At 46.8% G+C, this 13237-nt stretch overlaps 1 protein-coding gene across 2 annotated transcripts; it reads left to right on the top strand.

Moving 5' to 3' along the window:
- The first annotated feature begins 3856 nt into the window (after positions 1–3856).
- ZSCAN5B (zinc finger and SCAN domain containing 5B) lies at positions 3857–12061 on the top strand. Of its 2 annotated transcripts, none has more exons than NM_001385638.1 (5): positions 3857–4013; positions 8693–9078; positions 9694–9897; positions 10760–10910; positions 11172–12061. In NM_001385638.1, exons 2-5 carry the CDS (start codon positions 8695–8697, stop codon positions 11918–11920), a joined length of 1488 nt encoding a protein of 495 aa, NP_001372567.1. In that variant the 5' UTR covers positions 3857–4013; positions 8693–8694; the 3' UTR covers positions 11921–12061. The 2 variants fall into 2 exon arrangements, with proteins under 2 accessions (NP_001372567.1, NP_001073925.2); NM_001080456.5 differs by having other exon boundaries at positions 3964–4013; positions 8568–9078.
- The last annotated feature ends 1176 nt before the right edge of the window (positions 12062–13237 follow it).

The following is a 13237-nucleotide window of genomic DNA, read 5'->3' as shown; positions in this document are numbered from 1 at the left end:
TCACTGCTTTGATATCAGCCAACCTACTCTTAGGTAAAAACAGTGGGAACCAGAGGAAGGCACATGGTCCCCACTCTGCATTCACTTTAGGATGATGGGAGGTGGTTTATAGACATACTGAGTGCTCCCTAGTTCTCAACCCCCTCAGTTAGGCCTCTCAAGCAAGAAAAGCCTTAATGGTGGTATGAATTTTACTGTGTGGATCATGGAGACCATGTGGAATGACAATTAAGTGCACTTTATACTGATTCTGGTTTCAATCCTTAGGAAATCTTAACCCACTGAATTCTGGAAACTTCAAACTCCCTGTGACTAGAACCAGGGAATTATTACCTTCCTGACATGTTGTTTTGAAGATTAAATAAGATTATGTTGGCCGGAAGTGGTGGCTCCCGCCTATAATCCCAGCACTTTGGGAGGCTGAGGCGGGTGGATCACAAGGTCAGGAGTTTGAGACCAGCCTGACCAACATGGAGAAACCCCATCTCTACTAAAAATACAAAATTAGCCAGGCGTGGTGGCGCATGCCTGTAATCCCAGTTACTCGGGAGGCTCAGGCAGGAGAATCACTTGAACCCGGGAGGCGGAGGTTACAGTGAGCTGAGATCATGCCATTGCACTCCAGCCTGGACAACAAGAGCAAAACTCCATCTCAAAAAGCAAACAAACAAAAAACCAGATTATGTCAGTAAAGTGCCCGATACAAGGTCATTTTGCCAAAAAGTTCTGACACTTATTTTCTGATGCATTTTCTCATACTCTGTGATGTTTTTCCTTGTTAAGAATTGAGGTATTGATAGTGAGTCAGAGTTCAGATGGAGTTATTAAGTGGAATGAACTAGAATCTGCCTAAAACCACCATCTACCTACCCAATTCCCTCCAATCCTCTCCTCTTGAAACATGTCATGTTCTCATGAGGAATGTCCTTGACATTTTGGTAGGGATTGAGTTGGATCTGTAGATCTCTATTTAATAGTGTGGTCATTTTCACAATGTGAATTCTTCCGATTTATGAAGATGGACTATCTTTCCATTTGTGTGCCCTCTTCATTTCCTCTCATCAGTATTTTATAGTTTTTCTTGTAGAGATCTCCTACCTGTGTGGATAAATTTGTTTATTGATTGATTTATTTTTAGAGCCAAGGTCTCACTGTGTCACCTTGGCTGGGTGCAATGGAAAACTCATAGCTCACTGCAGCCTTGAACCCCTGGGCTCAAGAGAGCCTCCTGCTCCAGCCTCCTGAGTATCTGGAGTTACAGGCAAGCACCACCACACTGGGCTAATTAACAAACTTTTTTGTAAAGATGGGGGTATCGCTATGTTGCCCAGGCTGCTCTCCAATTCCTGGCCTCTATCCGTCCTTGGTGACTAAGGTCACCATGCTGGTGTTTACATATCCCTATTCATGGTGTAATTATCACTACAATCAAGCTAATTAATGTATTCGTCAACTCACATAGTGACTATTTTCTTTTCATTATCTATTTATGTCCATAATTCCTGGGTCAAGCAATCCTCCTGCCAGAGGTTGCAGTGAGCCAAGATCGCACCACTGCAACTGCAGCCTGGGTGATGGAATGAGACTCCATCTCAAAAAGAAAAAAAAAAAACGATATCAAAAGAAAGCCAGATGTGGCTCGTGCCTGTAGTCTTAGCTGCTAGGGAGGCTGAAGCAGGATTGCTTGAGCCCAATAATTGAGAATTAAACAAATAAGAAGAAGGAAAGAACGTGGTATCTATGTGAGTTGAGGGAGATGTTAACTAGCTTGGTCCTGGCGATTGCATCACAATATATACCTGTTTCCAAACTTCAGCCTGGTGACCTTCGTTAATAATAATGTGTTGGGAAAGTCTCAACCAGAGCAACGAACAAAGGGCATCCAAATTCAGAAGGAGGAAGTCGAATTGTCTCTCTTTGCCAACAACATGATGTCATCTATAAGAATCCCTGAAACCTCCACCAGTAAAACTCTTAGAATTGATAAACCAATTCAGTAAGGTGGCCAGATACTAAGTCGATATGCAAAAATCAGTAGTGTTTTTATACACCAACAACGAACTAGTGGCAAGAAAAAAATCAAGAAAGCAATCTCATTTACAAGAGCAAAAGACACCCCAAAACCCTGGAAGTAAATTTAACTAAGGAGGTGAAAGATTTCCACAAGGAAAACTGTTAAACACTAATGAAAAATATTAAAGCGGACCCCAGAAAATGGGAAGACATGTTCGTAGGGGGAAGAATCAACATTGTGAAAAAGACCATACTATTAATAGACATCTACAGATTCAATGCGATCCCTACCAAAATACCAACAACATACTTCACAGAAATAGACTGTGAGTTTCCAGAGGGGAGGATTCGGGGGAAGCAGATAGGAAGATGGTGGTTTAGGCAGCTCCCAGTTAATTCCAGTGAATAATTCCTTTTTTTTTTTTTTGAGACGCTGTCTCGGTCTGTCGCCCAGGCTGGAGTGCAGTGGTGTGATCTCCGCTCACTGCAAGTTTCGCCTCCCGGGTTCATGCCATTCTCCTGTCTCAGCCTCCCGAGTAGCTGGGACTACAGGCACCTGCCACCACGCCTGGCTACTTTTTTGTATTTTTCGTAGAGACGGGGTTTCACCGTGTTAGCCAGGGTGGTCTCGATCTCCTGACCTCGTGATCCGCCCGCCTCGGCCTCCCAAAGTGCTGGGATTACAGGCGTGAGCCTCCGCGCCCGGCCATTAATTCCATTCTTAACTCCAACCCATTGTCAACACCTCAGTGGTTAAGAAGGGAAAATATCACAAAGTATGAGAAAATGCACCAGAAAATAATTGTCACAACTGTTTGGCAAAATGACCTTGTATCGAGCACTTTATTGACCCAGTCTTATTGCATCTTCAAAACAACACATCAGGAAGGTTCTAGTCACAAGAAGTTTGAAGTTCCCAGAGTGAAGCGGCTTAAGATTTTCCAAGGATTTAAACCAGAATCAGTGTAAAATTAACAGCCCTCCAATTTGTCCTAAAGGTTAGACGAGAAGGTTTCCTCTGAAATTAAAATGAATGAGTCACTACTTGAATGGATTAGTGTCATCCAACTGATGGTGTGAACTTCCCAAATTGTAATCTAATCCTGCCTAGCACTTAATTATCATTCCACATTAACTCCATGATCCACACAGTAAAATTCACACCCACCGTTAAGGCTTTTCTTGCTTGAGAGCCCTAACTGAGGGGGCTGAGAACTAGGGAACCCCGTAGGACCCTCAGTGTATCTATAAACCACCCTATCACCGTCCTGGAATGAATGCAGAGTGGGGACCATGTGCCTTTCTCTGGTTCCCACTGCTTTTATATAAGGCTGATATCAAATCAGTGATTTAGTTTAGTTTGAACAAAGCTTTCACATGCCAATTCCAAGATTTTGAAAAAAATAAAAAAGTAAAAAATTATCACAAACATTCATTACATATCAACGAGTGTCCACAATTTTCAACATCTTGGAATTCGCGTGTGAAAGCTTCGCTCAAATGAGATTAAAAATGAGATTAAATCACTGGTTTGATATTAATCAACCAACTCTATTTTGAATTTTTCTTTTTTTTTTCTTTTTCCGTTTTGTTTTAATAAGCGAAGTCAACCAGCTCTTAACACGTCCTTTACTTGTTAGGATATTACTGTCTGTGGCATGAGGGGACCCAAAGTGGTTAAAACTTGCAGATCTATATTTTCTGAGGCCTCCACATACTTCAGCAATATGACAACTCAGTAGAGCGGGAAAACCTGTATTATTTGCACAGTAGGCACGTTTAATACATTAATTTCCTGTGGGTGGGGTTTCAGTGGGAAATGTAATCAACGCCGATTACGAAAATGGACTCTGTGGCCCTAAACCAATCACGGCGCGGCGCAGGGAACCGGAAACGCGGCCTGGAGTCCCGCTTCTCCATAAATAGACGCAGTTCAGCTCCAGGCCGGTTGGAGAGCGCATCCCAGACCGAGAAGGTCGGAGGCAGAAGCCGGGAAGGAGGTGAGTGTCCAGCGGCGATGGCTGTGGGGTTTCGGAGCTGGCATGCGGGGGGTTGGTTTCAGAAAGTTTGGGTTTATTTTCTCATGCATTTATTTTCTCGGAGACTTTGTGAAGGCAGCGGGTCTCCTTTGCACCCCATGATTAACTCTGACTGGCGATGAAGTGCTTCTGTAAACTAGGAATAATATTAACTTTCTCGGTCGGGCCCAGTGGCGCACGCCTGTAATCCCAGCTACTCTGGAGGCCGAGGTGGGCAGATCACGGGATCAGGAGTTCAAGACCAGTCTGACCAACATGGTGAAACCCCGACTCTAACAAAAATACAAAAATTAGCCGGGCGTGGTGGCGGGCGCCCGTAATACCCGCTATTCAGGAGACTGAGTCAGGAGAGTCGTTTGAACCCAGGAGGCAGAGGTTAGGGTAATACCCGCTATTCGGGAGACTGAGTCAGGAGAGTCATTTGAACCCAGGAGGCAGAGGTTGCAGTGAGCCGAGGTCGCGCCATTGCACTCCAGCCTGGGTAACAAAGCAAAACTCCGTCTCAAAAAAAAAAAAAGGAGAAAAATAAAGTAATAATGTTAACTTTCTCATCATGGTTAGGTTTTGTTTCATTTTATTTTTCAGAGACGGGGTCTCGCTCATTTCCCAGGCTGGCCTGGAACTCCCAGGCTCAAGCTATGTGCCCTCCTCGGCCTCCACCTAGCTGGGGCTGCAGGAGCACACCACCACACCGCCCGAGTGCATTTTTTTATTTACTATAGAGACGTGGTCTCGCTGCTTTGCCCAGTCTGGTCTCGAACTCCTCGGCTCAAGCAATCTGCCCGCCTCAGCCTCGATCTCCGCTTTCTGAGCAGGGGCGCTTAGGGAACCTGGCGGGAAAACCTCTTTAATTCCCAGAATTTCAGGCTGCCTTTTCTCATATCTGTATGCTTTTAAAAAATGTATCGATTTACTTAATAAATAAACAAAACGAGATGGCCGCTGGATGTGTCTCCCAGGCTGGAGCACAGTGGCACAATCGCGGTTCACTGCTGGGCTGAAGTGATCCTGCCACCTCCGCCTCCCAGAGCACTGGGGTGACAGGAGTGAGCCATCGCACCAGGCCTAATTTACTTTCAAATTGAGAAATATAAATATATAATGGTGTATATGTCCGGTGCACAGCATAGTGTGTCAAGGTGTGTACGCATTGTGCAACGGCTAAATCGAGCAAACTGCCATAGGCTCTACCTCACTGTCTTATCATTTTTGGACAACACTTGAAATCGACTCCCTTAGCAATTTCCAAGTATACGGTACATTGCTGTGAACTATAGTCACCATGCTGTGCAGTAGACCTATTTAACTTTATTTCTTTTATTTTTTTAAAAAAAAGTTTTAATGGCCAGGTGCGGTGGCTCACACCTGTAATCCCAGCACTCTGGGAGGCCGAGGCATAGGGATCACTTGAGTTCAGGAGTTTGAGACCAGCCTGGCCTACATGGCGAGACCCCATCTCTACTAAAAATACAAAATTTAGCCGAGAGGGGTGGCTCACGCCTATAATCCCAGCTACTCGGGAGGCTGAGGCAGGAGAATCGCTTGAACCCGGGAGGCAGAGGTGGCAGTGAGCCCAGATCGGCCACTGCACTGCAGCCTGGGGGATAGAGTGAGATTCTGTCTCAAAAAATAAATCAATAAAACGAAATAAAAATAAAAATAATTTTAAGTAGGCCAGGTATAGTGGCTCACACGTAATCCCAGAATTTTGGGAAGCAGAGGCAGGAGGATCACTTGGACCCAAGAAGTCAAGGCTGCAGCAAGCCAGGATGCACCACTGCATTCCAGCCTGGGTGACAGAGCAAGACACTGCTGCAAGTTTAAAAACAAAAATAGATAACTTTAAAAAAAAATTCCACTTTTATTTTAGGTTCGGTGGGTGCCTGTGCAGATTTGTTACGTGAGTGTACTGAGTGATGCTGAGGTTTTGGGTATCACTGAACCTGTCACCCAGGATATGAGGATAGTACCCAGTAGGTAGTTTTTCCACCTTCCCACCGTCTGTCACTTCAGAGCTTCACTGTTTTGGAGTCCACGTCCTGATTTCCTTTCCTCTGTGTACCTGCCCCGGAGCGGGATTGCCGGCTCATGCAGTTGTTGGACTTTCAATTTTCTGAGGAGCTTCTATACTGTCTCCCATATCGGCTGCTCTAATTTACATCCCAGCACAGGGCGCAGAGGACCCCTTTCCCCCGAATCCTCACCAACACTCGTTCCATGTGTCTTTTTGGGAACAGCCACTCTAGCAGGCGTGAGGGGTGCCTTGTGGTTTGGATTTGCATGTCCCTGATGATGAGTGATGACGAGCACCTTTTCCTAGACCTGCTGGCCATTCACATGTCTTCATCTGAGATGTCCACACAGGCGCCTTAAGCCCTTCTAGTGGGTTATGTGTTTTCTCGCTCTGGAGGAGTTTGAGTTGCTTATGTTTTGCACAGGAGCCCTGTGAGATGTGTGGTGTGTAAATATTGTCTCCTCCTCTGGGTTGTCTCCCGCCTCTGCCGATTGTCTCCCTGGCTGTCTCTCTGTTCTGCACTTGCTCAGAGTCCTTCCAGGAAGTGTGGGGTACTCGCCCTCCAGGCTTCCAGTGACCTTTCCTGAGACCCTCCTGCCAGTTTTTTCTCCCCTCTGCAGACCTTCAGGTTGCTTCCCCCACCTGTGTCTAGGAAAGCAGGGCTGTGTTCTCATAGCTGTTGAACTTGGGTGATAATTGATGCCTGGAGAGTATCATACAGTGGCTTTTGCCTTTTGAAGCTATGTTTAGAACCAAATTTAAAAAGAAAAAAAAATTGGGCTGTGCGCGATGGCTCACGCCTATAATCCTAGCACTTTGGGAGGCCGAGGCATGTCACCCGAGGTCAGGAGTTTGAGACCAGCCTGTTCAACATGGTGAAACCCTGTCTGTACTAAAAATATAAAAATTAGCTGGGCGGGGGCCTGTAATCCCAGCTACTTAGGCTGAAGAAGGAGAGCCATATGAACCTGGGCAGCAGAGGTTGCAGTGAGCTGAGATTGCACCACTGCACTCCAGCCTGGGCAACAGTGCGAAACTCCACCTCAAAAAACATAAATAAAAAAATAAAATTTTTTAAAAATGTAGGCCAGCTGCAATGCAATCACGCCTGTAATCCCCGAATTTTGGGAGGCCAAAGCAAGCGCATCGCTTGAGCCCAGAGTTTGAGACCAGCCTGGGCAACATGGCGAAACCCCATCTCTATTACAAAAATAACCTATAAAAATTAGCCGGGCGTGGTGATGCACTTGTAGTCCCAGCTACTTGGGAAGCTGAGGTGGGAGGATCACTGGAGCCCAGGTTGAGGCCGAGGGAACCATGACTGCAAATTTCCCTCCAGCCTGGATGACAGAGCAAGACCCTGTCTCAAAAAGAAAAAAGAAAAAACCGCTCTATGGTATGATCCCACTACCTGGAAATTTCATAAGACTTTAATCCATTTTATGGAATGAGATAAGGAACAGAGAAACTCCCAGAGACAATAAGCAGATTAGTGATGGCCAGGGGCTGGGGGAGGGGGTTGGGGCAGGAGGTAATTCCTGATGGGGATGGCGTTCTCTTTTGGGGTGATGCAGTGATTCTGGAATTAGAAAGTGGTGATGGTTGCACAACATAGCGCATGTTCTTAGTAAAAGTGATGAATTTCATAAATGTGTGTTTTACCGAAACAACCACATATCTGTGCAGGAGCTTAATTCTCATAGGATTTTTTTTTTTTTTTTTTTGAGATGGAGTCTTACTCTGTCACCCAGGCTGGAGTGCAGTGGCATGATCTCACTGCAAGCTCTGCCTCCCGGGTTCACGCCATTCTCCTGCCTCAGCCTCCCGAGTAGCTGGGACTACAGACGCCCGCCACCATGCCCAGCTAATTTTTTGTATTTTTAGTAGAGACGGGGTTTCACCATGTTAGCCAGGATGGTCTCGATCTCCTGACCTCGTGATCCACCCGCCTCGGCCTCCCAAAGTGCTGGGATTACAGGCCTGGGCCACCGCGCCCGGCCTCTCATAGGATTTTTTAGTGACACCTCTTCCCTGCAGCAAATAAATATCCTGGGGTTAACAGGAAAAATGTGTTGGGGACAATCGTAGGTTGTAACTATTAATATTTTTCTCTAGCTTTTTACATAATTATGACTAAGGGCTTTGCCTTGGATCTTGTCTTGACGGGAAAACATAAAGAACTGACATTATTGTTACATCAGATTCTAGGAGCTTCACATACATATCCGATTTAATTTACAGTCAAGAGCAGTGTTGTTCCAGTTGAAAGGAAAACCAGTTCCACCTCTGCACAATGATCCCCTAGAGATCAGAATCCAGGGGAGCATTCAGATTTTACCCCAGAACATGTAGTCAGAGAAGAACAGAGTGGATTCATTTCCACAGGGCTGAGTCCGATGCCCATGGACAAGTGGGGTCCAGGATTGGGATGAGGGATTTGGAAGGGAGGGGTGTGTGGAGTAGAAAGTTAAAATAATCGGGCTCATGCTTTTTTCCTGCAGACTTCTGAACAAACTGTGAATATATTACTGAGAAGAAACAGGGGCAGCCTGTGTAAATAGGTCTCAATTTGATACTGGCTACTGGAAGAGCTTGCTCAGAGGCTGATTGAAATATTCTCCAGTAGATATGGCTGCAAATTGGACACTCTCATGGGGTCAGGGAGGACCCTGCAACAGCCCTGGGTCAGACACTCCACGGTCTGTGGCGTCCCCAGAAACTCAACTTGGAAATCACGACAGGAACCCTGAGACTTGGCACATGAATTTCAGGATGTTCAGCTGCCCAGAGGAGTCGGACCCCATCCAGGCTCTGAGGAAACTCACTGAGCTGTGCCATCTGTGGCTGAGGCCCGACCTCCACACCAAAGAGCAGATCCTGGACATGCTGGTGATGGAGCAGTTCATGATCTCCATGCCCCAGGAGCTCCAGGTCTTAGTCAAGGTGAACGGTGTGCAGAGCTGCAAAGACCTGGAGGACCTGCTACGAAATAACAGAAGACCCAAGAAATGGGTGAGTGGGAACCTCGTGATTGGTGCAGGGAAGGGGAGCTGGGATGGGGGCCAAAGAATTCTCCAGTCTCAAATATCAGCACAGCTAATATTGCAAATACCTGACCTAGGAGATGGACAGGCAGAGGGGATACAGGAACCCACACACTGTGTGAGGCCAACCTGAAAGAAAGACATTGGTAAAATATTAGGCCTGATGGAACGTAGGGAAGGAGGCATTAGAGTGAACTGAAGGGGGGCCCAGAAGTCCCATCCTGAGGCAGGGAAAGTGGTTGGTATCAGATGCAGGGATCTGCCTCCAGGTCCCCAAATGAGCCCCTAAGTTCTAACACAAGGTGAGCTGCCATTGGCCAATTGAGTTGGATTCACCCAGAATATTTCTCCTTGTCTTCTCTTTGGTTAGAGACCCTTTCATCTAAATGACTCATATTTATGTACTTATCTAGTGAAGAAAAAAATTCAGACAGATTGCTGTGTCCACAGAGCTGATTCTGCATCAGGAAGGTAGATTTGAACATTAATTACAGTAAAGTGTGAGCATTATGGCAGGACCCAGGAAATATGAGAGCTACTTTCAGGTTCTCATAGTGTCTGATTGTCTTTTTTCTCTCTACAGTCTATAGTCAACTTGCTCGGCAAAGAATATCTTATGCTGAACTCAGATGTCGAGATGGCTGAAGCCCCCGCCAGTGTCAGAGATGATCCGAGAGACGTGTCCAGCCAGTGGGCCTCCTCTGTGAACCAGATGCATCCGGGGACAGGCCAGGCCCGCCGAGAGCAGCAGATCCTGCCCAGGGTCGCTGCACTGTCCAGGAGGCAGGTGAGTGTGTGAGGCCTTGGTGTCTGGGCAGAGGTGGGAGAAGGAACAGGAGGAAATCGTGTGGCTGCAGAACTGATTGAGAGATTTGGCACAGGACAAGATTAGAGCCATTCCCCATGGACATGATACATCCCCAAACATTCATTCCTGAGCCATCACAGAGAGGGAAGCCTCATCTACTTTTCTCTCCACCATGAGAGCTTTTAGCATTTAGGGTGGGGGGGTGGGTAAGAAATGGTCTCAGTGAAGTGAGGGAGGCAGTTGGCACAGATGAATGAACTGAAGGTCCCTACCCCATCCAGTTTCCGCAAAGACATTTCATGAAGTCATTCAGCAAGGAACCCACTTTCTCAGACTGTTGATTTCTTAATTTGAGGAGTGTTTCTCAACTGGTGATTTTGCCTTTAAGGACACATTTGGCAATGTCTGAGGACATTTTTGTTTGGCATTCTCAGGGGTGGTGGGGTGTTGATAGCATCTAGAGGGTGGAGGCGGGGTCTCTGCTCTGCACAGGAGCGCCCCCTCCAGGAGGATGATGCAGCCCCAATGCCAATGGTGCCAGGGGTTAGGGGCCTCCACCTAGAGTCATGCTTCTTCCAGCGTCAGGGGCAGGGAGACATTGGCACGGCGGGGAGAAATATTCTCAGAGAACCAAACAGTGAAAACCGCCAGGCAAAGGAGCTGATTTAGAATATGGAGGGTGCAGATTAGGGACAGACGCAGAAATGAGGTGGTGATGTTTACTTGGGGTGATGGGGTGGTCCATGGGAAGTCTGGTGTGTCCAGTCAGGAGGGGACAGACATGTCCCTACTTCCACCAGTATAGACACGGCAGTCATTGCTCTTGGTTTTTCCTCTTCAGGGAGAGGACTTTCTGCTACACAAGAGTATTGACGTAACAGGTGACCCAAACTCTCCGAGACCCAAGCAGACCTTGGAGAAGGATCTGAAGGAAAACAGGGAAGAGAACCCAGGACTGTCATCCCCAGAGCCTCAGCTTCCAAAGAGTCCCAGTGAGTATGAAGACTTGGATCCACAGGGGTTAGTCCCTCTCTTCTGGGGTGCGGGGCTGGGGGCCCAGCATTATCATCCCCTGGGGCTGGCGATCAGCTGCCAAAATCTCTCCTCCACTTTCCAGAGACCTACAGTCCAATGTCTTAGGCTTGAGGTTGAGGGGAAGTTCTCAGCCAAGGTCAGTGTTTGGTTGCAATGAGTTTGGTGTATTGAAAATCGGCTTTGTTAACTGTTGTGTGTGGAATCCCTTCTTCCACCAGATCTGGTGAGAGCAAAGGAGGGGAAGGAACCCCAGAAAAGAGCCTCTGTGGAAAATGTGGATGCTGACACACCTTCTGCCTGCGTTGTGGAGAGAGAAGCTTTGACTCACAGCGGGAACAGAGGAGATGCTCTGAATCTGAGCAGTCCCAAAAGAAGCAAACCAGATGCCTCCTCCATTTCCCAAGAAGAGCCTCAAGGAGAAGCCACACCTGTGGGCAACAGAGAATCCCCAGGACAAGCTGAGATCAATCCAGTTCATTCCCCAGGCCCTGCGGGCCCGGTCAGTCACCCAGATGGCCAAGAAGCCAAGGCCCTGCCGCCCTTTGCATGTGACGTGTGCAATAAATCATTTAAGTATTTTTCCCAGCTAAGCATCCACAGGAGGTCACACACAGGAGACAGACCCTTTCAATGTGATCTCTGTCGGAAGCGCTTCTTGCAGCCCTCAGACCTCCGAGTTCACCAGCGAGTCCACACTGGCGAGAGGCCCTACATGTGTGACGTCTGCCAAAAGCGGTTCGCCCACGAGTCCACCTTACAGGGCCACAAGAGGATCCACACCGGGGAGAGGCCGTTTAAATGTAAATACTGCAGCAAAGTTTTCAGCCACAAGGGGAACCTGAACGTTCACCAGCGCACCCACTCCGGAGAGAAGCCCTACAAATGTCCCACCTGTCAAAAGGCCTTCCGTCAGCTGGGGACATTCAAGCGTCACCTGAAAACACACCGGGAAACCACCTCCCAGTGATTCCAGAGTCAGGTCCACATCCTCCACCCCAAGAGACAGTGAATGATGGTTTTTCTCCAATGTTACCAGATGACATATACACATAAAGCACTTGGTAGGAATTGCCCGGATGTTTGAATAAATATTTATCCTCCCCCATGAGTTTTGTTTTCTGTTTGATTATGTCTGTTGCTTTCTTACAGATTTATTTTAGTGTCTGTTGCTGTTTCTCTTCCAATGAGCAAAGTCTCATCATTTTCCAATATCTCATAAGAAAAAAACTAAGCACAGTGGCACGCATGTGTAATCCCGGCTACTGGGGAGGCTGAGGCAGGAGGTTTGCTTGAGTCCAGGAGTTTAAGTCCAGCCTGGGCAACACAGTGAGACTCCACCCCAAAAATAAGTAAAGAAAAAGTTCAAGACCAACCTGGGCTCAAGCGAGTGAGACCTTGTCTCTATAAAATAAATAACTTTAAAAAATAACAAAAAATAATAATAAGTCTAACAAATATTCCACAGACATTTATGGAACACTTATCAGCTGATATTCTAGGCACTTGGTATATATCCTTAAACAAAAGGAGATGTATTAAAAATAAGAATAAAAATTAGAAGTAAGGCTGGGCCTAGTGGCTAATGCTTGTAATCCCAACACATTGGGAGGCTGAGGCAGGAAGATCACTTAAGGCCAGGAGTTCGAGACCAGCCTGGGTAACAGTGAGACCCCCATCTCTACAAAAATAAAAATAAAAATTAGCCGGGTATGATGGCACACCTGTAATCCAAGCTACTGGGGAGGCTGAAGTGGGAGGATTGCTTGAGCCCAGGAGGTTGAGGCTGCAGTGAGCCATGATTGCATCACTGTACTCCAGACTGGGTGACAGTAAGGCCCTATCCTAAAGAGAAAAATAAAAGAAAAGCTGACATGACTGCCTAAATATTGTATTCATGGCATAGATGCAACAAATTTTTTTAATGCAATCATTGGACTTGGGCTGCTAAAAAAATATTAGAAGGCAATAATTTATTTATTTATTTATTTATTTATTTATTTATTTATTTATTTTTGAGACAGAGTCTAGCTTTGTCACCCAGGCCGGAGTGCAGTGTCAGATCTCGGCTCATAGCAACCTCTGCCTCCCGGGTCCAAGCGATTCTCCTGCCTCAGCCTCTCGAGTAGCTGGGATTACAGGCGCCTGCCACTGTAGCAGGCTGAGTTTTGTATTTTCAGTAGAGATAGGATTTCACCATGTTGGCCAGGCTGGTCTCGAACTCCTGACCTCAGGTGATCCACATGCCTCGGCCTCCCAAAGTGCTGGGATTACAGGTGTGAGCCAC

The sequence above is a fragment of the Homo sapiens genome, chromosome 19, assembly GCF_000001405.40.
Source record: "Homo sapiens chromosome 19, GRCh38.p14 Primary Assembly".
In the NCBI taxonomy this organism is placed as follows: domain Eukaryota; kingdom Metazoa; phylum Chordata; class Mammalia; order Primates; family Hominidae; genus Homo; species Homo sapiens.
Note: the sequence above shows the minus strand (reverse complement) of the source record. Positions and strands in the feature narration are given on the sequence as shown.

Excerpts from the sequence above, each read along its gene's own strand:
- ZSCAN5B (NM_001385638.1), top strand. The coding sequence starts at position 8,695 with ATGGCTGCAAATTGGACACTCTCATGGGGTCAGGGAGGACCCTGCAAC. Across the intron at positions 9,079-9,693 it reads ACAGAAGACCCAAGAAATGG|TCTATAGTCAACTTGCTCGG; the intron begins GTGAGTGGGAAC and ends TTCTCTCTACAG. Across the intron at positions 9,898-10,759 it reads CTGCACTGTCCAGGAGGCAG|GGAGAGGACTTTCTGCTACA; the intron begins GTGAGTGTGTGA and ends TTTCCTCTTCAG.